The sequence below is a fragment of the Homo sapiens genome, chromosome 7, assembly GCF_000001405.40.
Source record: "Homo sapiens chromosome 7, GRCh38.p14 Primary Assembly".
Taxonomy (NCBI): Eukaryota; Metazoa; Chordata; class Mammalia; order Primates; family Hominidae; genus Homo; species Homo sapiens.
The window spans coordinates 156,160,708-156,186,693 of record NC_000007.14 but is presented as its reverse complement, the minus strand read 5'-3'; the positions used below and the strand labels follow the sequence as shown (position 1 = coordinate 156,186,693).

General features: G+C 47.6%; 3 annotated features.

Moving 5' to 3' along the window:
• Positions 7,462-7,962: an enhancer, noted in NCBI's record as "H3K4me1 hESC enhancer chr7:155971426-155971926 (GRCh37/hg19 assembly coordinates)". NCBI's record gives its function as "activates a minimal SCP1, AML or CMV promoter by ChIP-STARR-seq in primed H9 embryonic stem cells {active_cell/tissue: H9 hESC(primed)}" and the evidence as "EXISTENCE:reporter gene assay evidence [ECO:0000049][PMID:30033119]".
• Positions 17,918-18,072: a silencer, noted in NCBI's record as "fragment chr7:155961316-155961470 (GRCh37/hg19 assembly coordinates)". NCBI's record gives its function as "represses an EF-1alpha promoter that drives an FKBP-Casp9 reporter gene in an ReSE screen in phorbol 12-myristate 13-acetate-treated (for megakaryocytic differentiation) K562 erythroleukemia cells {active_cell/tissue: K562(+PMA)}" and the evidence as "EXISTENCE:reporter gene assay evidence [ECO:0000049][PMID:32094911]".
• Positions 18,393-18,606: a silencer, noted in NCBI's record as "fragment chr7:155960782-155960995 (GRCh37/hg19 assembly coordinates)". NCBI's record gives its function as "represses an EF-1alpha promoter that drives an FKBP-Casp9 reporter gene in an ReSE screen in K562 erythroleukemia cells {active_cell/tissue: K562}" and the evidence as "EXISTENCE:reporter gene assay evidence [ECO:0000049][PMID:32094911]".

Here is a 25,986-nt window from a genome sequence, read left to right as displayed (position 1 = left end):
AATGAATTAATGAGTGAAAGTTCAGTAGAGAAAGAGATTCTTGGAATTTAGGGAAAATAGCTTTATGGATGAGGAATATGAGTTCTAAAATAAATTAATATAGTGGTATTTGAGCCAAGGCTTCCCTTTGGGAAGGAAGGTCTACTTTCTACTTAAAGATTTCTTCAACTGTCATAGACTACAAGGATATCCGTTTTTAAAATTCCTACATCAATTTAAGAGGGAGCTCCTAAGATTGGCTGCTGAATACCAACTCAAGTTAACAAGAAGAGGTCTCAAGCCCTGGTGGGAAGGATTTTCACTTCTAGCTATGGTGGAATAACTGGTTTTAGGCTATCCTCCCACTAAGGACAACTATACAATATGTACATACAAAACATCTGTGGGCAGGCATCAGGAAATAGTTAAGATAGGCAAGGCTAAACAGCCAACATCCTTAAAGAATCCACATAAAATTGAGGTGAGCGCTCTGCTGGTCTGAGTGCAGTGGTGTTTACACCTAATTGATCACAACCAGTTACAGATTTCTTTGTTCCTTCTCCACTCCCACAGCTTCACTTGACTAGCCTTAAAAAGATAAACTAAAATTGAGGCAAGCCCAACATTTCCCAGCACTATTTCTCCTCAGAAAATTTGACAATTATTAATACAAAACATTGTATCCGTTAGGGTTAGGGTGAGGGTTAGGGTTAAGCAAACAAAATTGGGAGTGCATGCAATTGTTTTGAGGATGATTCCCATGAAATACAAAAGACAGAGGAAGCAGAATAGGACCAGGATGCATGTATGAATCCCATAAAATTAAGTGGGGTGGGAGTAAGAAGGATTTGGACAGGGAGAGCTGCAGGCCTGACAAAGTCTTGGCCAATCCTAAAGGGAGCATAAGAGCAAAGATTTCCCTTTAGAGGAATCCTGCATTAGGTAGAAATGGCTGGTCATCAGCAGAGGACTTGGAAGGAAGAGCGTGATGGTAGACTGAAAGCTGAAGTGGATCCCGGAGACACTGAACTAGGGCCTGTCAACTAAATGCATTCATTTTGGATGAATTGCAAGTCCTTCTTTTGAAAGGAGATCCAAGAAGCACACCTCCATGGCGGCCACAGAGGTGACAAAAAGATCTAATGTGTAAGTAACTAGAGTCTAAGAAGGATAGAAAAGAGAGATTAGGGGAATAAGCAGTATTTGAAGAGAGATTGGCCAAGAATTTTCCAAAATTGATGGATGGCAACAAGTCACAGATTCATGAAGCCCTAAAAAATATTAGCAGGAAAGAAATAAAGACAATCACACTCTGTACATCAGAGTCAAAGTGCTGAAAAATTGGGACAAAAATAACTCTTAATAGAAAGCAGAGAAAATAAGTATTGCTTTTAAACAAGCAATAAGATTAGAAATCGCTGATGTTTCAATGGAAATGATGGAACGAGGAAGACAATGGGATTGCATCTTGAAAGAGGGATGTTGTAACAGCCTACATCTTGATCTGGGTGGTAGTTACACAGATGTAATAGCTTGGCAAGAATTTGCTGAGCTGTACAATTGAAATTTGGGCACTTTAGGTATGTATGTGATACTTCAATAAAATTATCTAAAACAAAAACCAAAAATCCTGTGCAATGTGAACACATCCAATGGTAAAGTAAATGAAAAACACAATCCTGTTTACAGTTTTAAAAGACTATTCTGAATCCTGTGTGGAGAATAGCTTATCACAGGGGACATTTAGAAGCTGAAAGCCATTTAGGAAGCTACTGTAACAGCACAGGAAGATCGGGGTGGTTGCAGCAATAAAAAGAGAGAGAAGCAGAAAAATAGATAAGTTTTGGCAGGACAGTTCACAAGGTTGCTGGATGTGGGGTGTGAAGGAAAGAGTGAACATAAGAACAACTCCTAGAGTTCTGGCTTCAGCCAGTGGATGGAAGGTGGTGCCTGTTACTGGGATGGTACCAACTTCGAGAAGAGCATATTTGCATGAAAAATAAAGGATTCCATTTTTGACATGTTTTGTTTCAAACAGATTGCTATTGGACATCCAAGTGGAGATGGAATATCAATTTGGAGTTGGTCATTGCTTCGCTAACTTCTAAATTTAATTTCTATTGAATCATACACATATGCTCATATGTGCAATATATAATTTTGTGAATGCAAAAATGTGATTCTCTGGTATGTTATTTTCTTTATAGTGGTTTCTTTCCCTTTTTCTTTTTAAGCTTGACTTCTCCTCATTTGCCTCTACTCATCATACTTCACTATCCTTCAGTAACTGTGGTAACAACCCAGTAGTCTCCCTTCCATTCTCATGCTGTACTCTGATGACTACATCTGACAGGCAATCATTGTTGTGCAAAGACTGGATTACATCATACACTTTCCTGCTTCACTCAGTGACTCCGTATGGAGATCTCACCAAGTGACTCTGCTTACCTCTGGTTTATTAATTTAATGGTTGCTTTCTATTCCATAGGGTGGGTGCTATCATTAATTTAACATTTCCTCCATTATTCTTGTAAAGACAGGGTCTCACTACATTGCTCAGACTGGTCTCCAACTCCTGGTCTCAAGTGATCTTCCCACCTTGGCCTCACAAAGTGCTGGGATTACAGGTGTAAGCCACTGCACCCAGCCAACAATTCCTCTATTGACAGACTTCTCTTTCTTCCTAGATTTTTTTTCTGCTGTGAAGAATATTGCAATAAACATTCTAGAATATAAGTCCTGACATGACAAAGTCTTTCTTCTGTGAGAAGTTCTCAAGGAAGAATCTCTGGGTCAAAGAGCAAATGTATTTTTAATTTTAATGTAGGCTGCCATATTGTCCCCACTGCTCCTTCCAAAAAACTGTAGAACTTTTCTCTTTGTATGATTAACATATATATGCCAACTTACTAAGCTTTCAAATTAATTCTAGTAGTTTTTGTTTCAATGTAACTTCTTCGGGATTCCGGTATACAATCAATCAATCTTCAGCAAATTCAGCAACCAGATATGACTTCATTTCTACTTTTCCCAACGTCTATACAAGTTAATTCACTTTCTTGTCTTATTGAATTCACTAAAAATCTCTAAGATAATGTTAAAGTGTAATGCTATTATACACAAATCTTCTAGTTCTGGATTTCAATTTCAATTATTTCAATATTTTGTTATTCGACATTTAGTATTGTAACATTTGCTTTTGTTTTCTGTTAAATAATTGATATTTATGTTTTTTCCTTTTTTGTATTTTACATAAAGTTTTCATTAGAAATTATGGCTGTATTTTTCAAATACCTTTGAAGTATCTATTGATGTGACTAATTTGTTGAGATAATGGTATATGGATTGCCTTTTTTATGTTGATATAGTCTTGCATTCTGCTTGGTCATGGTGTGTTATTTTCTTAATATAGTGCTAATATTATATTTATAATTTTGGCACATATTTTAAAGTGAGATTAGTTTATACTTTTTAATATTGTTTTTATCATCAATAGGTTTTTGTATTAAAAGTCATGCTGCTTTCATAAAATGAGTTTTCTATGTCCTGAAACAGTTTAAATAACATTAATATCGCACATTTGTCAAATCTTGATTCCACTCCTATATGGTAATTTGTTAGTGCTTCCTAGTTTTGTAATCAAAATATGACCTGGAGTCAGTTAAGATGAAATTGTAACTACTTGTCACAAAAAAGACAGGGAATTTAATGTCCTCTGTCTCAAAGTATGCTTAGTTTTTGCAGTGGGAGACTTCTTAGAAGAAAAATGTCACAATCAACTTCGTAAGCCATTTATTAAACCATGATGCGTGTTTATGTGTTAGGTTGCGTGGCAGACAGAATGCTCAACCCGAACTGAGAGGGTTTATTTCCAGGACTGACATTATCTGTTCTAATTGTGTGGCCTTTGGCCTTAGTTCCCACGGCTGTAAAAGGGAATTTAAAAAGCCACCTCACATACCACCTCACAGGCAAAGAAGTGAAAACAGGAGTGCCCCTCATGCCAAAGGCTTCACATGTCTTAAAACCAAACAGACTTTGGGTCCCATGAAACTTATTTCTTTACAAAGTTTCCTGAAACCCCTGCAAAGTTCCACGCAACTGCCATGTGGGCAAATCATTTCCTTATAACCCAGTGACTTCATCTGTGTCTATTGGGAGTTTTAGATATTCAGGAAGCTTTTATCAATGGTGATATGTAGAAGGCAGGTAAAAAGGGAGAAAGGGAAAATCACCTTACATTTTTCCTCTTTTATAGCCAATACCTGCATTTTCTTAAAGGTGATTTTAAATCTGAAGGTCAGGTCCACGGTGATGGTTCCATTAAAATGTTCCAGGGCCTGTATTTAAATGATGGCTATTTCTATGTTAGCCTTCCCTTGTATTTTAACTCCTCTCAATATCAACTTACTACCAAATAGTCTACAGGCCAAGCATAATGTATACCTGCAGCAAATGACACGTCTTCACCTGCACACTCAATGCATCTCCATCATGCCTTCCAGGAGAGCTGTCATTCCCACTAATGACGCAGCTCACATTCCACTCCGCCTGCCTCTCACCCAGCCGGTCCAAGGCTAGCATTCAGAAAATGGCTCAATTAGGACCAGCTTTCGGGTGTTTCTGCTGGATATCTGGAGTGGTGAGGGGTGGGGAGACAGAAGAATGTGCATCGTTTTTCACCTCCAGAAAGTTCACCCGTTATCATGATGAGTGATTTTCTCTTAAAGTCAGACACATTCAGGGGGACAGAATGAGCCAGTAGTTAGGTCTTGCCTTTGCTAAGGCAGAAGAACGTAATGACTCCATCAACAACCAGATGTGTAAACACTGGGAAAGGGGAAGAGCACTGGGCGTGGGTCTTCAGGAGGCTGTTCAGACTTTCCCTCTAAGGGAAACATGTGGTCAGCAGGGGGCAGGGAGCACTGAGGCTGAGTATGTGCACGTGAGGTTTGCGTCTGCTTCTAAAGCTGTTTAGGAAAGCAAGTTTCTCTGTATCCAGTCTGTCTTCCCACCTTCTGGCTCTAAAAGCAACATTTGCTCCTGAATCCTGAAGCATGAATGGCAGCATCTCTGACTCTGTCCCTTTCCCCGGACTCTCTCATCCTCCTGGGTGTTGCTGCTCACGCCTGGATGGGAGAAGCCTGGAAATCTTGTAAAGCTTTGGTTCCATGGGACTAACGTTCTGTTGATGTTGACATCACATTAATTGAATGCTTTATGGGATCTAAACCCCCAAACCAGGTCTTATCTGTGTTATTGAAGGTGGCTGCATGGCATAAAGTGGAGCAGATGAGCTGGAGATACTATCTGTTTCTGTGTCTTCATGTGCAAAAGCCACCAATGGGGACATCGACATTTCAGTCAGCTCAGAAAACAAGGTGCTGTGTGGGCATTTGCTCTAAAAGAATCCAAGGATGGCCACATGACTAGATGCTTTGAGCCAATCATCTGGCCACGTTGGAAGTATTTCATCCTCTGAGCTCCAACCCTGTCATGTTAGGGCACTCCAGTGGCAGGAGTCAGTCTCATTAAGTGGTGCTTTTTTTCCAGAGCAAGGAGCTGGCTGCAGGCTTGAGGATGTCTTGGTGCAGAGCAAGGAGCTGGCCGCGGGCTGGAGGGTGTCTTGGTGCAGAGCAAGGAGTCAGCTGCGGGCTGGAGGGTGTCCTGGTGGAGACTGTGAAGGCATTGCTGTGAGCAATTTGTGCCTTCGTGCTTTCTGTTTCTCCTCATTTCTCCAGACACTGCCTCTTTTTGGCCTGGCAGGGCCCAGACCCTCCGGCTGAGGCAGGTCGCCTGGGGAAGAAAGCTGACTCTCTCCTAGAAGAGGCATGCTGGTGAAAGGAAGAGGGGTGAAGCGCCACAGATTCCCAAGGATTGAAAAGTGCCTGTGATACAGGGAGGGGAAGGTGGGCAGGGTGCGTAAAAGAAGGTCGAGGAGTTTCCTGAAGAATTTGTCCACCCACCACCCTCCCCTTTGGGGACTGTCAGTCCCCAGGTGTTCCCACCTGTGCAGGTGAGCAGGCTCCTCTGCAGGCTGCCTCTGCGGGGCTGCCCTGGCTCCCACCCTCCTCCCTGAGGCTGCTCACTGCAGAGGCAGATCGGTCCCATCACCCCTGCTAACGACCTTCCCATAGCAGCCCATGGTTCTCAGATTCGAGTAACAGTTCATTTTATTTTATTTTACTATTTTATTTTATTATTTTATTTTATATCTTATTTTCATCAACTTTTATTCTAAGAATGGTCAGGGCAGAGAGGGAATCAGGTTAGAGACATCAAGAACTGTTATGGCACATGTCACAATTCTTGATATCTCTCACCTGATTCCCTCTCTACCCTGGGCGTCTCGAATCACCTTGTGCTTTCCACCTCAGGCCTCTCAAATACATCTGGCCCTTCTATGTGCTTCTCCGTCAGAGTTTCCTCCTCCCCTTGTCTTCACCTGGCATGGACGTCTTCCAAAACTAAGCAGTGCTGTCTCCACCCCAGGAGAGTCTCCTGAGCACACTGGGCTGCCTGCCTGAGCCTCGGCATCTCCTGGTCATTTAGACGAGTCCAGTGGCTCGTAGCAACCCCAAGGTGGCCAGTTCCACAGGTCTGTGCAGCGAGGTGAGACTGTGATGACAAGAACGCGTGTGTAGCACATCCCCCGGGAAGGGTCTGCTGAGAACCTGCTGTCTCTTTTGAATGTGGCTGTCTTCACTCACAATACTTTGGGGAGTCCTTTTACAGCGCGGCTTCAATGTGTACAGCATAGCATTTGAATATTTTCACAGCAGCAAGTATTGATCCTTTAAGTCTAGGTTTAATTTTTGGAAATAGTAAAAATCACTCAGGAATATGGCTGGGGGATGAGTTGGGTGACTTTATTTGGGATGAACTGTGGCTCATGGCTGTAAACAGTGTTTCTGAGGACAGTCCTGCGAGGGCAATTCTGTGAGCCTTACTACCAATGAGAACACTGCTGAAATTGGTATGCACCACTGTCAGCTGTTCTCCACTTTAAAAAGTCTAAACCTGGGGCCTTAAAGACATCCTCGCCTACATGTCACCTCTGGCCAGGTTTCTCCATCACTCGGGGACAGGTCCTGGAGTCTTAGGGCGTTGGAAGTTTCATTTGGGAGCCAGCAAGGCTCAAGATGACAGGAAGGCAGTTCCCATGCCCACCTCTGGCCTGCCCTCTACCCCAGCGACCCTGCAGATCCCCAGGAACAGCTCCTGCCATCTCTGATGTGTCTCGAGAATGTTCTGCTCCTATTGGGCTGTAGCTACTCAACCTGCCCAAGCAGGGCTGGAAGGCTTCCCATCTCTTCTGGTGCTGACGTTGCCAGAGTCCCTTGCCAGGACTGGAGAACACACGGGAGACACGTCACACAGGCTGGAGAGCCTTCGATCTGCCAGCTGGGAGCTCCGGGCAACATCCGACTCCCCGTCTCTGCTCCTCTGGGCCCCAAGCAGCTTCCTGTTGCTCTCAGATCCATGGTCCCCCTTTTCCGCTGTGGGGTACGCCACAGGGCCCTACATTTTCCCGGATGCCTTTGACCTCCGGCTCCTCTGTAGCTTTGGCCAACAGGAGGCACAGGTGGAAACCTGTGGGGCGGCGGAGAAAGGAGCCTGTGCCACTTCTTCCCCCGCCTGCCCTGCTGCCCCGGCCTCTCTGCGGCTCTTATTCCTGGCAAGGGCCCTGACTCTGGGCTCTAATGATGCCAAAGGGTGCAGCGGCCCCTCTGTGGTAACCTCAGGGCCTGCATGGACTTTATGAGAATGATCTGTATCAGTTTTCCTCCTGAAAGACGTAGAGTGCCTCCGTGGCCCTGAGGAGGACTGGGCCTGGGCCTGGATTCCTCCTGCACGGAGTGGAGGCCTGAGCTGTCCTGCCACGAGGTTTAAATAAAGGTCTATTGACGAATGCAGTGAGCACACTTTAGTGCAAAGGGAGATGCTATGGAAGAAATGATTACCATTATCATGAATCATCAGGAAAGCCTGTGGCTGCCTCGGGTCCACGACATGCTCCCGCCATCGTCAGCAACACTAGGGGCCAGATTTCAACAGACAGCAAGGAAGGAAGGTGCCCCTTTAGTTTTCTTTTTGAGAATTTCAAGTTCAGCTTTTAAGAAGATGCTGCCACCTCGGTTTTCCCTCCCAGCCTTCACCTCCTCTCTCCTTCCTCTGCCTTCACTCTCACGCCCTCCCTTCCTCGCCCCCGATCCCGCCTCTCCCTTCTATACGAACTCCAGCCTGGCTGGTGGGGAGAATGTGCCAAAGCTTAGCAGGGGAGCGCTGTCTTCCTGCCTCCCTGTCACCGCAGGCTCATGCTAACAGTCACCCTCCGGAGCAGGATGGCCTTGCAGAGGCTGCAGAGATGTCCCCGGAGAGGCCTGCTCCTTCCCCGTCCCCACGCAATGTAAGCGTGGATCTTCTCAGCCTCCGTGTGTCTGAGTGTGCAGCGTGTGCATTCTTCTGCTTTTCTTCTTCCTCTTCCTCTTTCACTTTTCTCTTTTATTTTTTTCCTTTTTATTTTTTAATTTTAAATGTTTTATTTGAGTAGGTTTTTGGGAACAGGTGGTGTTTGGCTACATCAGTAAGTTTTCAGTGATCTCTGAGATTTTGGTTCACTCATCACCCGAATACTTTTCTCTTTTCTTCTCTTCTTCCCTCTCCTCACTTTCCCCTTCTTTCTTCTCTCCTCTTCCCTACCCACTTCTCCCTCTTCCCCGACTTCAGCATCCAAATCAAAACCAAACGCAATAAAGAATAAAAGTCCTGTGGTTCCCCAGCCCTCTCCCAAAGTGGGGAGAAGGGCACGTCTGAAATTCCCTGTCTGCTGACAAAGGAAAAGGTAGTGAAAAGCTCCCTCTTTCAAGAGACCTGGCCGCCGCCGTCATCCTGCCTTAGAATTAGACATCATAGACATCCAAAACAAAAACAGCAAATCCAACGCCATCCACGAGATACACATTCCCTAATTGCTAATGTTTCCTTTTGATAACTAAAAAGACTGTGCACATTAAATAAAAGGAGATTTAATTTCTAGTTTAAATACAGCTGCTGTGATTCTTATGTACCACACAGCTGTGGTGAGGCTGGCACGAGGCCACGACGCGGAGGCCCCTCGAGCCGGTCCGCATTGTCTCTGACACGCGTACACAGAGCATCCTGGAGTGCTTAGGAAAGATTTTTATTCATTCTCAGGTCTGCGCTGCACCACGGGGACGAGCCTCACGAGCCCACACCTCGGGGCTCCTTGCACCTGTCAAATCATTTTATTTTTCTCCCTCTGGCAATGTTTTTTCTGTAGGGGAAAATAATTTGTTTCACCATTTCTCTTCCAATTCTGGGCAGAGACAGACCTAATCGAGTGTAATATTTCTTAGTCTTCCTAAAAAATTTCTTTTCAATAAAAAGGACTGATCACATGTTTTTATTTTGAAAACCACGAGAGCAAAATTTGGGGTTGGAGTCTTAAAGAGACATTGTCAATCTGGGTCTGTGTATCTTGGGGTGGGGGATAAGAAATTCCTGCCAATTGGTGTCATTCCCGATTCATTTCAGAACGAAAATAATCTTAGAAGATATAGGAAAAAATTAGAAAGATTAAAGTCTTCAAGGACATTCTGGCCACTTATTTTAATTTAGTAGCTCTCCTCCAGGAGGCCTGAAGTATTTCCTGCTCTGTTCGATAAATGAGGATTGTTGCTGTTGGATTGCCATGAGGCCGGTATTTCCTGGAGCCCTCCGGAGTCCTGATGTGGGACCACTCTTGCTTTGAGAGGATTTAACCTCAGGAAGGGCCCTGCAGCCACCTTAGCCTTTGAGCATTTCTATGGCTCCCAAAGTGTGGAGACGACCCACCTCATTCAAGGCCCCCTCCTCCTGGCCACAGCTCTGCAGGCCCCTTAACATTACCCTCAGCGTTCGATCTCCAGACTCTGACCCCGTATCTTTGAACATGAAATGGACTTCCCAGTGCAGCTTGCAGAGGGAGGGTGTGAAGACTGCGGCCCGAGGAAGAGCCAAGGTGATGTCCTAGCCAGTGAGGTGGAGACCTGGGCCTCACTTCCTCTTAGGAACGTCGCCAATGCAATCCCTTCCTTGCAGACACGCTGTGAGTCCCCCTGGGGCTGCCATAACAAAGTGCACAGGCTGGGGCTTGAACAACAGAAATTTATTTCTCACAGTTCTGGAGCCTTGAAGCCCAAGATCAAGATGTCAGCAGGATTGGTTCCTCTTGGGGCCTCTCTCGTTGGCTTGTAGATGGCTGTCTTCTCCCTGCATCCTCACACAGCCTCTCTGTGCGAGTCTGTGTCCTGATATCCTCTCCTCATCAGTCACGTTGAACAAGGGCCACCCTAGTGACCTCACTGATTCCCTCTGTCTAGACCCCATTTCCAAATGCAGCCACCTTCTGAGGGACTTGTGGTCTGGGCTGCAGCTTATGACTCTGCGGCCACGGCACAAGCTGAGCCTGTAGGGAGGGTGTGCAATGCGGACCTTCCAGCCAGAATGCAGGCCAGGGCCACTCCAGGGTGACATATATGTCCCCTATCCCTTAGCCCAGGCCATTGGAACACAGCCACTCTGACTGTCCTGGGAGCGAGCTCACCAATGGCAAGAGGAGGAAAGGATAAAGTGACCGAGCAGAGGTGTGGACAGGGACCCAAGACCCAGCTCAGCTATTCACAAACTCATGTGGCATGGGAAGATTACTTCATTTCTCTATGAAAGGAAGGGGTGGGGTAAGTGACCTTGGAGGTCCTCGACACACCCCATGTTGACCAGATGCAGGAAAGAACACAGAGTCAGCAAACTACAGCCTGAAGGCTGCATCCGGCCCCCCATCTATCTTTGTAAATAAAGTTTTATTGGAACACAGCCACCCTCATTCACTTATACATTATCTCCATGCCACCATGCAGAGTTGATGGAGACTGTATGGCCTGTAGTGCCTTAAGCATTTCTATCTGGCCCTCTAGAGAAAACACCATCCAATTCCTGGACTAGAGCACTGAAATTTGGCAATGACTGACTTTTATTGGGAGGTGGCAGTTTGGCAGAACTGATTTATTAAGCTTCAGTGGGATGCCCATTCATTTGCCATGATGTACAATATTTGCCTGAGTCTGTGTGGGTGAAAGTTGAAAATTCATGGAACAGCAGGCCGCCCATTGTGGGCCCAGAAACTCTCAGCCATGCAGGATTTCTACCCCCACTCCCCCGGGGCCCACCAGACAGAGTCAACAAAAAGAACAGGAATGGGGAAACAGGTTGAAGACTGACAGACAGGCGTTGTGGCGGGGGCCCAGCACTGCCCACCTTGGGCAATAGAGTGTGTGTCTGAGATTAGAGGGCAGGGGCTGGGGACAGCAGTCATTCAGGGGCTGAGAACCACGCAGGAAGGGAGTTCCATTGGTGCGGAGGCACAGAAGGGTCACCCGCACCCCCATAGCTACACTCCCTTCGATGCCTCGGCGGTGAGGATGTTCAAGGCCTCAGCTGGTCCACGGAGTGGTGCCACGTGGATTGGGAAAGGCCTGACACAGCTCAGGCTCAGGGCTCACCGAGTAGCTGTAGCCAGTCTCCAGTTCCTGTCTCTATGGCTGTGCGGGATGTGGTCCCCAGGGGCAGGGCTGTTGAGAGGAGCAGATGAAAGATCTGCTGCCCAGCACTTGGCTCAGGCCCTTCCATCTGAGCACCCAGGGCCCCTGCACCACTGGAGCCAGAACCGGGCCCAGCTTCCGTATAGTAGGCGATGCCCCAAAGCAGCCCCTGACTCTCTCCACACCCACCCACCTCAGGGAAATGTGCTCTGGTAGGTAGAGAACTGCTGAGGGTGTTTCTTGGATGTTCAAGATTTCACTGTGGTTTGAGGGATTATTTCTTCCCTTCAACGCCAAGAGAGGGAATTTAGCCACATCCACGATGGCCGATATAGCCTATCTGATCTGGGCAGCGTCTTGGGGCCCCAGCCCCCACTGCCTCCAGGACAGCGTGGCGAAGGCCCGCCTGAGTGGGTTTGTTCACGCCCCCATTCTTCTCCGATTTCTGTAAACTCCTGTTCATCATGCCAGAGAGCCTGGGTTCTGACCCCCGACCTGTGAGCCGGCAATCCAGAGCGGCGTAGGCCACGCCTCAAGTGTTCTGTCCCGTTCTTCTCCTTCTGCTCCCCGTGCTGTGTGGCCCAGCTGGGCTGGATGGGAACCCTGCCCCCTCCCAGGTGCCCGGCCTCTGCCCTTTGCTCCTCTGTAGCCCCTTTCTCTGCCAGCCCTCTCTGTTTCCACCTCCATGTTCCAACAAACTCAAAGCTGGCCGTGCATTGAGGGTGTTCTGCTGACATCTCAGCCCCTTCCCGGGGCTGGCAGGTGCACGCTGTCAGGATTCTGGCAGGAGGAGAGCATCCCTAGCAGAAGGGCCTTCTGGAAATAGCCCTTGCTGCCCACCACGCAGCCCTGGGGTGTTGGGCTCAGCATGGACGGCTGTAGGAAGCCCTGCACCTGGGGTCCTCTGGAAGCTGAACAGCAGTGCGAGTGTCTTCAGCAGCAGGGCAGGAAAGACGAGCTGAAGCAGGGATACCTCTTGGAGTCAACAGCTCACAGGCTCGCTGGTCCGTGACGAGGTTTATGGAGTGCCCACCACGTTGAAGACCCTGGGATCCCACATGCCTTGGAGAAGGTCTCAGCCGACTGCGTTATGTGGAGCCCTGGCCTCACCCTTCACTGTCGAGAACCACCCAGCAGCTGTCACCCGTTCAGCACATGCGCCCTGAGCCTCTCACATGAGCCAGGCACTCCTGAGGGCTGGGGACAGAGTTGCCCCTAGCAGAGGTGGGTTTGCCCCCTCGGGAGTGGACACACACTTGCACACCCACATGCACGTTCAACACACAGACACACACATACACGCTCAACACAGACACACACGTAAAAATGAGAGGGAGAGAGAGGAAACTGGAGGTCAAGAGAGAGGGGCTGGAAGCTTCGGGCTGTGTGTTCTGTGAAAGGGGCAACAGGACCTGGACAGAGCAAAGCCAGGACTTTGCTCTTTCCTCAAATCCGAAAGCCGGGTTGGCCCTGTCTCTGGAGGGCACTGGCATTCAGAGCCACCACCGTGCTGGTCTAGGACAACACAAAATGGCCTGGCCTGGCCCAGCCTCAGCTCAGAGGGATGGAGCGTGTTGGGCCGGCAGCACGGGCCAGTCAGGCCTCCCAGAGGAGACGCGGCAGCAGCTTCAAGGCTTTTCACTGCTCACTTTCCATTCTCTTTTCCTTTCCCTCTCTCACTTCCTCTCACTTCCTCCAGCCTCAGCCCTGCCGTGCCCGTCTCCTCAGATTGCCCTATTCTCCTCTCGGAGGCCCAAATGTCCCGTTGATCTTGATGTCTCACCCAATCTCACACCTATCTTGGAGAACCAAGGAAATTCCAGAGGCTGCAGTCTACTTTTGACAGTTCAGAGCAGGACAATCACTGTGGGGACAGCCTGGCCCTTGGGGAGGAGACAGAGAGGCTTTGTTCTCTCACCTTCTTGGCAAGCTGCAGAACTCTAGGTAACACATTCCAGGTCTTGAACTTTAGGGAACGAATGAGCCAAGAACCAGTTCAATATCAATGATGAAAGGGAGTTGAGTCCCTTCCTAGGTACCCAGGTCACTTCTCTCCTAGAGAGCTATGGGCTCATCAGACATTTGCTCAGCAAGCCTTCACTCAGGCAGCAAGAGGACAGAAGGGATATTCCCAACAGTGTGCTGCCTGCAGGATCACTTCTCTGTGACTGAGAGTACCTTTCGGGTGGCTGTGTGCTTGGGTCCGCCAGGTACAGGCTTTCTCTTTGCTGGTCAACGCGGACCACCTTATTCCGTAACTCTCATCCTAAAATTTTTCCATCTTTCTCTGCCCTAGCAATGCAGTCCACCAGGCCTGGTGGCGGCTGCTGTCAGGGGTGTGTTGAGGTGAGGCATCTGCCTTACCTTCTGTGGCAAAGCAGGAGGCAGGATGCTCTATTTATAATTTGGGGGATTTTTGAAAGCATAACTCTTTCATTATAAAAATGCCTTAAGCTTTCAGACAGCAATCAAACACAGCAATATCCGGTGTTGTTAAAGAAGGACCTGTGTGTTTTTAAAAACATTATCAAAGAGCATGAGTCTAAATGATGTTCACCGAAGGAACATGTTGACAATGTTTATGACTAAGAGGTGCAAATGTACGTATCAATAGGAAAGAACCAAATCATTCATAACTGTGGATTATTTAATGTTCCTAATATCAGAGTCTTCCTTGGTGAGATATTATTTTTTGACATGAGTTTATAGATGTGTTCTAATGCCTCTGGTATAACCAACAATTTACAACTCAACCAGACCTCTACTCTATGGAGCAATTCAGGATTTTTGCCTTTGAAATCCCCTCAGGAGACCTGAAAAACTAGTTTGCTGTGTCTTTCTTTAAGACTTAAAATAAACTAACATGGAACTGAAAGATGCTGAGGTTCATTTGCAAACCAGCCTCTTCTGCAGAACGTGTTTGTACATTCCACTGAGAAAGGCCTCTGCTATGCTCCTTGGACTGCTTTAAAATGCTCCAGAGTTTAAAGAAGAGCAGGTAGAACCTTTGCCACTTGGAAATGATACACAGTTCGCTGGAATGAGTGGGCATCCATTTTGCTCATATAAGTTCCTGGGGAGAAGAAGGAATCTCCCGTTTGTCATTCCCTGTGGTCTCCTGCACACTTGCATAACATTTGTGGACTGAGTGGCAGCTCTGGTGTTTTAAAAGCTCAGGAAACTATTGCATGTGTCGTGGAACAGGCCAATGATGGAGCAAGTCTTTAAGTTACTGGGAGCCAAGGCAGGACTGTCTAAAGCAGACAGGGCAGACACAGGGATTTGATGCATACCTGATTTTTAATGGCATTCCTGAAAAATCAGTGCCAGAAAGTATGATACCTAAAATAGGACAAGGGCAGCCACAAATTGGTATGCATCATGGCAAAGTATGACAAAGAACTTACTGAGTACTCTGTCCCATTTTCATAAAAGTTCTTGCAGGTCCTACATGTGAGATTATCCTGTGAAAGTTCATTTTTGTCTTTCCCAAGAACACTCTGGTCTCGAGCTGCACCCAGTGTGGCTGCCACCTGCCTCCGTCGTCCCTGAGTCCTGGAAAGGTGGCCAGCCCAAACTGGTATGTGCCGTTCTAGGTTTTGAAGACTTAGGAAAAGAATGTGACCCCACCACTGAGAGTTCTTGGTGTTAATTCTATGCTGAAACCTAATCTTTTAGGTTGTTCAGTTTCAAATATATAGTATTAAAATGAATTGCACCTGTGTTTTGTTTTGTTTTTTTTTTTTTTTTTTTTTTTTTTTTTTTTTTTTTTTTTACTTTCAACAACATGGCTACTAGGAAACCTCCATGTCACACACAGCTTGTGCTGGAAGCTGCCCTTGGTTGTCTGAGGACAGTGTCAGCCTAGAACAGAGAGGAGCACACAGCTCTCTCCAGGAGAGGCCACATCTGAGGGGCCACACTAGGCTCCAAAATGGTAGGTGCTCTAGGAGTTCACAGCAGAGGGAGCATGCTGGGACTCGGGAAGGCAGAGACAGCGTCCTGGGAGGGATGTTTCTTTTCAGCCTCATGAGTAGCTGGGATTACAGGCATGCTCCACCACACCTGGCTAATTTTGTAGAGATAGGGTTTCTTCATTTTGGTCAGGCTGGTCTCAAACTCCCAACCTCAGGTGATCCCCCCCACCCCACCGCCTTGGCCTCCCAAAGTGCTGGGATTACAGGCGTGAGCCACTGCACCTGGCCTCTTTTTCAGCTTTAAGAATGATGATGATCTAAGAAAATGGCCTGGAAGTGGTGGAGTAGGCAAGAAGGGCCCTTGCAGGTGAGCCATGAGCACAGTGATGAACGTGTGCACGGCTGAGCGTGAAACGCAGGGACTTAGCAGAGGCCTTGCTACACCCTGGGCACTCCGCACATCTGCTTCTAGGCTGAGTCCTCACAGTGAGCAGTGAGTTGCGCACCAGCCATCTCCCATATCACAGATCAGGAAGCTGGTGCTCAGCAAGGTGGACGGACCCAATTGAGGACGCCCTCTGAGAGGAAGGCGGGGTTCACCTCCGGCTGTCTGATTCCAGGGCTTAGGCTCTCAGCAATTAAGCCTTGAAATGGATATTGCTGACGGTTACATGAGGGCAAGCTGGGGGCCACCTCCCTACCTCTCCTCTAAGCCCCTCAAGGAGGGACGTTGTTTGATCTGTGTGGCCGTGCAGGCCCCGGCAGGCAGACATCTCAGAAGGACCTGCCGCGCTGGGCTTTGGCCACCATAGCGTCCAAGCATCATTTCTGTCTCTGCCGGCTGTCCTCACGCAGGGTGAGGACACAGAGCCAGCCGCAAAGTCCTGGAGCAGTGGCTGGCGACCGATGGAGAGGAGAGCACTCCTGCCTTGCCTGGAAGGGGCCAGGCCTCGCTAAGGACAGGCAGCGCCGCAGAGCTGGAGGGCCTGTCCCTGTGAGTGGCTCTGGGGGTGGGAATGTGTCCTTTTTTAGGGTGTGTCCACACGCAGTCGGGCCCAACACTGTGCTTTCCCAGCCAGGCTGGAACTGCCGAGCCGGGGCTCCCTGCAGAGACCGGCTGGGCTTCCAGAGAAAGTGACCATGTGGGGAGGGGTGGGGCAGGCGTCTGCTCTGTGCTCCCCACTGCCCTTCCAGTCCTGGCGGGTCCCAGGACGGCTCAGGGCCCACTCCCCACCGACATCCGCTCTGGCTCAGGCACAGCTGTCCCAGGCCACCAGGAGCAGGAACCCCTGAGGGGAGCCTCTTCCTGCAGCGCAGCAGGGAGCCCCCACTTCAGAGGAGGGTGTTTGCGACACTCTAAGGGTGTCAGCCGGTGGCAGCAGAGGGGTCCTGGGCCACCTGCGTGGTGTAGATTCTCCGGCATCGACCCCAGGGGTCGATGAGAAGGGGCTGAAGAGGGACGGAAGCTGCTTCCCCACTCAGTGGCAAGGTCAGCCCCCTGGGGACCAAGGAGGACCAGGTTGCCGGAAGCCTGAGAGGCACAATGGGCTGCAGGAGGGGAGCTGGGGCCCCACGTTCCCAACAAGGGTTCCCTCCCCAGGAGCAGGGACAGGTTGAGCCCTCCACCTACCCCCGGGACAAGCTGCGGACGCCTGACCTGTGACCCCGTGAAATAGAAAGAGGTGAAAGTGCAAAGTCACTTAGACCATCTCAGTTCCTTTTCTTTTCTTTCTATCAAGAAACATGGATGGAGTCCCTGGCAAGACCGCTGGGAGCATCCCACCCAGACCAGTGACCTCCCGCCGGGAACATCCCACCCCACACACTGCCTCCCGCTGGAAATGTCCCACCCCACCCACCGCCCACCACTGGGAATATCCTGCCCCGCCCACTACCCCCCCCAGGAGCCTCCCACCCTGCCCACTAACCCCGCCAGGAGCCTCCCACCCCACCCACTGCCTCCCCCACCTGAGCCTCCCACCCCGCCCACTGTCCCCCCAGGAATGTCCCGCCCTGCCTACTACCCACCCCCAGGAGCCTCCCACCCCACCCACTATCCCCCCAGGAGCCTCCCACCCCACCCACTGTCCCCCCAGGAATGTCCCGCCCCACCCACTGCCCCCCTCTAGAAACATCCCACCCCGCCCACTGCCCACCCCCCCCAGCATCCCACCCCACACACTGCCCCCTGCTGGGAGCGTCCTGCTTCACCCACTGCCCCACTGCCCCCAACCACCCCCACAGCTGGGAACGTCCCACCCCACCCACTGCCCCCCTACCCACGCTGGGAGCGTCCCACACCACCCACTGCTCTGCCCCCACTACTGGGAACGTTCCACCCCACACACTGTCCCCCATTCCCCCCGCCCCCCCCCAGGATGTTTCACCGCACCCACTGCCCCCCGCTGGGAGTGTCCCACCCGCTGCCCTCTGCAGACAAGCAGGAAAACGTGTTCTCTGCCCACCAGGGCACCCCGGATTTGGCCTCGTCCACTCCTCCAGCTGCTGTAGGAAGGCCTCGTGGATGGCAGAGCTCCTGGGCTTTGGGGCCGCATTGCAGCCTGATTACCCATCAGTCCCTCGTCTTAGATGAAGTAATGGAGTAAACTGTTCACCCGGCAGCACCCCAGGGAGGTAGCCGGGTGTGTCACTAGCGTAAGACTCTTCCAGAAAAGTATTGGAGTGGAGTGGACGGTGAGATGGGAAGGGGCCGCGGGCTCCCCGGGCTGGAGGAAGGCTATGCATTGCCGGTGGTGTTTTTGTTGTTGTCATTACTAAACAGCAGTTACTGCGTTCATGGCTGAGTTCTTACCAGGTGAGGATACTATCCTAGCTCAGTTACCTGGCATAACCCTTGCAACATTCATTTGAGACACTTACTATTAGCTCCATTTCACAAGTGCAGCAGGTAAGGCTTAGTGCAGGGCGGAAATGCGTCAGATCCCTTAGCTGGGAAACAGGCAGGATTGGCCTGAACCTAGGTCTGGACCACTCCAAAGCCTCCACCACTCCAAAGCACACTGCGGCCCCACTGAGGCTCTGGACCCAGATGGAGGAAGCTGGGAGCTGGGCTTGTGGAGGAGGTGGATGGAACCCTGAGGACAATTTTGTCCAGAAGGAGCTCTTGGCAGAATAACTGAGATCCAGGTATCGGCTCACTCACCTCCATCCCAGCTGCCAAGCCGCTTCCTCTCTGTCTCCAGTTGCCCAGCTGCGGGAGCGGTGATAATATCTACCCCAGAGGATATGCAGCCGTTCACTCTTACTGCACATAAACTGATGAAAGACCCTGCAGAAGTTCAAAGGCTCCAGAGCTATGTAATTACTGTGAAGCAAAACACCTTTTAGCAGCCCTGAATTAGCTTTCTCTCTGAAATGTCTATTTCTTCTCAGATGTGTGCTTTCTGCATCACAAGAGACTGGAATTTGGCCTTCGTGCCAGCAGCAAATGCAAGCTCTGTAAGGGCTGCGGGATAGTAGCTCACATCCTGCGGCATGTGGCCAAAACGCCTCACCTTGTGTATGCGACACTTCCCGGGTCTAGTGGGCCTGTTACATGTGCACTCGCAGAAGCCACCTTCGAAAGCTTGATGCCCAGAGTTTAGACATGAGCTAGAACTCAGAGTCCAGCGTGACCTAGAACAGCTCATTTGGTGCCTTTGGTCCCTACTCTCCTCACCTGAGAAACGAGGATGGCAGCTGGGGACCCATCTGAGGCCTCTCCAGCCTCAAGCCTGGGATCTGGGATTCTGAAGTGGCATCTGTTATCAGAGGTTGCAATGTTTGCCTGTTCTTGGCCCATAAGCAAAGACTTATAAACTGATCAAACTATCCTTTTAATTAAAAGAACTTAGTAGGAAAAAATTTCACTCACTCCCCCACTCTCCAGTTCCACTAGTGGCCGCAGAGTTGCTAAGAACTGGCTGCAGCCAGCACCTTGCGCACGGAGTGCGGCTTCCTGAGTCAGGCACCATTTCCTCACGTGTCTCAGGATCCGCACTGCAGAGCGGGCGTGTCCAGCATTGGAGGGAAAGATTTAGGCACATGGATAAGTTGATCCTTGCTGCTGGGATAAGAGAAGGTTTTGGAAAGAAACACGGTTTGAAGAGGGTCTTGAAGAAAACACTGGTGTTCTCCATGTGAACAAAAGGAATGAACTCCATTCCAGGCAGAAGCACGGGCATGTTAATCCCAGCTGTGTGTTCAGTACCATTGGACACAGGCAGTTTCTTTGCTCAGGTTAGGGTGATCACGAATCAGGACCCACTGTGGGTCAGGTATGAGAGCCAGGGAAGGAGGTGGCAGGGACCCCTGAGAGCCTGTGAATGAGGCAAACATTGGAGGTGGGGTCCTCAAGGAAAACCAGGGAAGGCGGGAAAAGCTGGACCTGAAGGAGGAGTCCTGTATACCTGGAAAGGATGTGGCAAGACCCCTCAGGACAGGGAGGAGGCATCAGATCATCAGCAAATGTCTAGGACAATGGAGTGTGCAATTTATTGGGGCAGTGTTGGGATTGTGTTCTGGCTGAAGTGTTTGTGTAAGGAAGCGATAGAGGACAAGTCCTAGAAGCAATGGCCTTCCCAGCTTAAGGGTAACATAGCCCTGAAGTTTTATGGACTGAAGCACAGCCAGGTCATTTGTTCAAAGGTTGATGGGGTTAGAAGCAAGCTGGAACCCAGGGTCTTTACCCCCAAGCCACTGCTCTTTGGGGCCAGATTATAGATTATGGGGGTACAATGTGATGCTATAATATATGTGTACCTTGCAGAAAGATTGAATCAAGACAATTAATATGTCCTTCACCTCAAATACTCATCACTTATTCCTTGTCTAACTGAAACTTCACACCCTTTGATCAACACTTACCCATTGACCCCAGTCCCCAGACTCTGGTAAACACACTTCTACTCTTCTTCTACAAGTTTGGCCTTTTTATCCTCTGCATAGGAGTGAGAACAAGTGGCATTTGTCTTTATGCTTATTTCACTTACCATAATGTCCTCCAGGTCCATGATGTCACAAATGACATAATCTTCCTCTTTTTTTAAAAGGCCAAATCGCGTATATACCACATTTTCTTTATCCATTCATTCATTGCCAGACACTTGGACTGATATGATAACTTGGCTATTGTAAATAGCACTCAATGAACATGGAAGTGTAGATAGCTCTTAAACATCCTGATTTCAAATCCTTTGGGTGTATACCCAGAAGTGGAATTGATGGATGGTACGGTGGCTCCCTTTTTAGTTTTTTTGAGGAAGCTCCATACTGTTTTCCATAACAGCTGTACTAATTCACACTTCGACCAACGATGTACAAGAATCCTCTTTTCTCCACATCCTCGTCAACACCTGTCTTTCATCTTTTTGATAACAATCATTCATGGTGAAGTGGTATCTTCTGGTTTTAATTTGCATTTTTCTAATGATTAATGATGTTGAGAATGTTTTATGTATCAGTTGACCACCTGTATATCTTCTTTTGAGAAATGTACACTTAGGTCCTTTGCCCATTTTTAGTGGGTTGTTACCTTGGTGTTGAGTACTTTGGGTTCCTTATATATTTTAGATATTTATCCCTTATCAGGTGTATGGCTTACAAGTATTTTCTCCCATTCTGTGGGTTAGCTCTTCACTCAGTTAATTATTTCCTTTACTGCGTAGAAGCTTTTTAGTTCAATGTAATCCCATTTGTCTATTTTGGTTTTATTGTCTGAGCTTTTGGGGTCAAATTCAAAAATCATTGTCCAGACTAATGTGATATAGGTTTTCCCCTATGTTTTCTTATAGTAGTTGTAGTTTCAGGCCTTACATTTAAGTGTGTAATCCATTTTGAGTTGGTTTTTGTTGAGATTGTGTTGTGGATAAAGTGTGAGAGATATATGGTGAGCAATAAGGGTCCAATTTCATTCTTCTGCATGTGGGTGTTGTTTCCCCAACATGCTCTGTTGAAGAGACTGTGCTTTTTCCATTGTGTATTCTGAGTACCTTTGTTGAAAATCAATTGACAATAAATCCATGGGTTCATATTGGGCCTCTATTCTCTTCCATTGGTTGACATGTCTGTTTTTATGTGGAAGGAATGTACCTCAGTGCAATAAAGGATATAACAAGCCAACAGCTAACATTTGCATTGAATGGTGAAAACTTAAAAGCTTTTCCTCTAAGATCGGGAACAAGACAAGGATGTCCACTCTCACCGCTGCTTTCCAATAAGCACTAGAAGCCCTAGCCAGAGCAATTAGGCAAGAGAAAGAAATAAAGGGCATCTAAATTGCAAAGGAAAAAGCCAAATTATGCTTGTTTGCAGGCAACATGATTTTATATGCTGAAAACCCTAAAGATTCCACACACAAAAAAAACCTGTTAGAACTAATAAGTACAGGAAAGTTGCAGGATACAAAATCTACATGCAGAATTTAGTACCATTTCCATATAGTAACAACAAACTATCCAAGAAAGAAATCAGGAAAACAAATCACATTTACAACAGCTCCAAAAATTAAAATGTTTAGAAATAAATTTAACAAAGGAGGTGAAAGATCCATGCACTAAAAATTATAAAGCTTTGGAGAAAGAGATTAAAGAAGATGTGAACATATGGAAAGATACATGTTCATGGATCGGAAGAGTTAATAATGTTGTTAAAACATCCATACTACCCAAAGCGATTTACAGATTCAGTGCAATCCCTATCAAAATTCCAATGTCATTTTTCACAGAAACAGAAAAATTCAATCCTAAAATTCATAGGAACAACTCCCCTGAAATCCTGAATAGCCAAGGCAATCTTGTGCAAAACAAACAAACAAACAAACAGCTGGAGGCATCACATTACCTGAGTTCAAACTCTAAAGCTGTAGTAATTAAAATAGCATGGTACTGGCCTAAAATTGAGATGTTTAACTTTTATCAATAATTGCTATTTGCGTACCCTTGAGTATGAGTTGCATCCTGCACTGAGCCCTAAGTGATGAAGATAATGATAATGATAGTTAACAACAGCAACATTTTCACCATTTGCATTAACTTCCTTTATGAGACAGGTATTACTCTCATTTCTATCTACAGGTGGGACCCAGACTGTTTCAGGGCTTCCCCACAGCCACACATCCAACAGTGGCTGGGCAGAATTCAGACTCAGGTCATCCAAATGCAGAGCCTGTGCCCTCTCTCAGTCAGTTACAGCGGCTGGGCAGGATTAGACTCAGGTCGTCCAAATGCAGAGCCTGTGCCCTCTCTCAGTCAGTTACAGCGGCTGGGCATGATTCAGACTCAGGTCATCCAAATGCAGAGGCTGTGCCCTCTCTCAGTCAGTTACAGGGTTTGCACATTGTGCCTTTTCTATTGTTTTAAAATTTAATGTATGATTTGCACACATTACTGCTGGTTCTCACATTGCCTCACAAGGTAGACATAATCATCCCAATTTTACAGATGAGCAGGCTGAGTCCCAGAGAGATGTGCTGCTTGCAAGACAGCTCAGTAGTGAGAGTCAGGACCTAGGGATTTGGATCCAGGCTGATCCAAAGTGCAGGGTCCTCCTTCTCTGTGGGCTTCCTATAGGCATCCCAAGGGAACCACTGAAGATTTCTAGCTGGAGAATACAATGGCCGAGGTAACATTTTGGATGTCCTTATCTGTGTGCTGGGGAGATGCACACTTCCCTCCGACACTGTCTGGGCAGATCCGGGATTTGCATTCTCTCTAACCCCCTAGCCCTGCGTCCAGAGGTACCAGGGATCCAATGAAAAGATCCCACAACACCCCTCCGATGATGATGATGATGATTGGTGATAATAATAATCTTTATGAACAACAGCCATAACTATAATGATAGATTCAAAAATGTGGATGAGGTTTTGCCTGGTGTATCTCCTTTCATCTCAGGATTTCAAAGTAACTTGCAAATATTAATTAAGCCCTGGGAGGTAAATATTATCATTTCAGTTTTCTGAAGGGGGAAACTGAGGTACTATGAGGTTTAAGTGCTTTGTGATGGACCACCTAGTGGCAGAAATCCAGTGAAGGGGTGATGTTTTTCCCAAATGCTCATATTTTCTTCAAATGTCTTTGGCTCAACATATTAGGATTAAGTTCCCTAAGTACCTATTTTGTATCTAGATGTGTATTAGGTTATGTGCACCATCTAAAATAAATATTGATGGTGCCTATCCTTTTATGGAGGGGAAATATTTATATACACCTGTAACACAGATAGTATGTAAGATATGCAATCACTTACCAAAGCGATTGTCCAAAGAAACAAGAGAGCAGAGGAAGGACACAGAGACGGTCTCTTAAGACAAGGCAGAGTTAGGGTCGGGGAGGTGCAGAGATGAGAGGACTTCTCAGGTAAATAAGAGAATAAGGCTGGTGGAGGGATGCCAAGGAGACAGGCTGCCCCGGGGGACACGGGCAAAGGGCGGAGAGCAGCAGATGTGCTTGGAGGGATGATGTCTGGCTGGAAACTCTTGACTTGGAGCTGTAAAATCTGGATTTGATGTGATGGGTAAAAGTGGTTTCTTGAAGGCTCAGAGACGAGCATCAGGAAGATGAGCGTGGCAGCCAGGTGAGTGGCCATGGGCCGGCGGTGGGAGTGCTCCCCTCCCCTCCAGTGCATGGCATAGGTGCCTTGTTTGTGGAGAATTTACAATCACTGTAATGCCAAGGGGGAGTGAGCCTGCCGTCCTTAGTACTGTGCGCCTGCAATTCTGAACACTGGCAATGACTTAAAGACCTCCACTAACAAAAGAACCTTTGTTTGAAACGATTACTGTGGTTATTGCTGACTTTTAGTGATATATATGTAAGATTCAAAGGAGTGCATTTTTGTCATTTATTCTTGTTTTTTGTTTGTCTTTTGAGACGGAGTCTCACTCTGTCACCCAGGCTGGAGTGCAGTGGTGCAATCTCAACTCACTGTAACCTCCACCTCCTGGGTTCAAGGGATTTTCTTGCCTCAGCCTCCCAAGTAGCTGGGATTATAGGCACGCACCACCACGCCCAGCTAATTGTTTTGTATTTTTAGTAGAGACAGGGTTTTGCCATCTCGGCCAGGCTGGTCTCGAACTCTCGACCTCAGGTGATCTACCTGCCTTGGCCTCCCAAAGTGCTGGGATTACAGGTGTGAGCCACTGTGCCCAGCTATCACTTATTCTTAATTAATCATTTTATTTACATGGAAGTTAATTTGGAGAATTGCCTTTCACAAGGTGGGCTCCTGACCCAATGGGCAGGTTTTTAATCGTTCAGAACCTTTGAGTTGGCTTTGGGTGAAGTCACATCTCCAACTTCTGCATTTAAATAGTCAATTCAGAATAAACAATCATGACATACCCATCAGAAAGACGAAGATACGAAACTTGAGTTTCAAACATTTGTAGTTTTCAATTTCATTTAAAATTTAAAACAGTGAAATGGCAAACCTGTGGAGGTAGAATATTTTTGTTTGGTAATTACAAATTGTTATTCAGACATGAGATATTTCCCTGAACTTGAATCATATATTTAAAATGAAAATGTGTTCTTTTTTTTCAAGATAGATTTTTTTTTATTATACTTTAAGTTTTATGGTACATGTGCACAACACGCAGGTTAGTTACATATGTATAAATGTGCCATGTTGGTGTGCTGCACCCATTAACTCGTCATTTAACATTAGGAATATCTCCTAATGCTATCCCTCCCCCCTCCCCCCACCCCACAACAGGCCCTGGTGTGTGATGTTCCCCTTCCTGTGTCCATGTGTTCTCATTGTTCAATTCCCACCTATGAGTGAGAACATGCGGTGTTTGGTTTTTTTGTCCTTGCGATAGTTTGCTGAGAATGATGGTTTCCAGCTTCATCTGTGTCCCTGCAAAGGACATGAACTCATCATTTTTTATGGCTGCATAGTATTCCATGGTGTATATGTGCCACATTTTGAAAATGTGTTCTTCTTTTAAAATTGTTACTTGCTTTGACTCTAAAGAACAAATCAAGGGAGTAAAGATTATTGCTGATTATCTGTGGTTACTTCTAAAAATAATCTGTTGTGCCGAGGAGGGAGGTGTTGAAATGGTCCACGTGAGGGTCAGAAGCACTGAAGAATTCCTGGCGGGAGGAGAGGCAGCCGGGAAGAAGGCTGGCGAGGAGGGTGTGGCATTAGAGGAAGCCTGGCGAGGAGGGCGAGGCATTAGAGGAAGGCGGGCGGGGAGGGCGTGGCATTAGAAGAAGGCCGGAGAGGAGGGTGTCGCATTACAGCTGGTGGGTGAAGGGGTGGGAGTCGCTCAAGGCAACAAGGAGAGAGAAAGGGAAACCCAGGTTGCTTTATGGTTAAGAGACATCCAGGGTCAGAAGAGGAGGGAGGCTCTTCGTGTAGTCCTACGTACAGCCTGGCAATTAAATTCTGAAAAGTCTTGTTCTGTAACTGTTTTGTTTCCTTCCTTCCTTCCTTCCTTCTTTTTTCTTTTCTTTTCTTTTCCCTTCCTCCCTCCCTCCCTT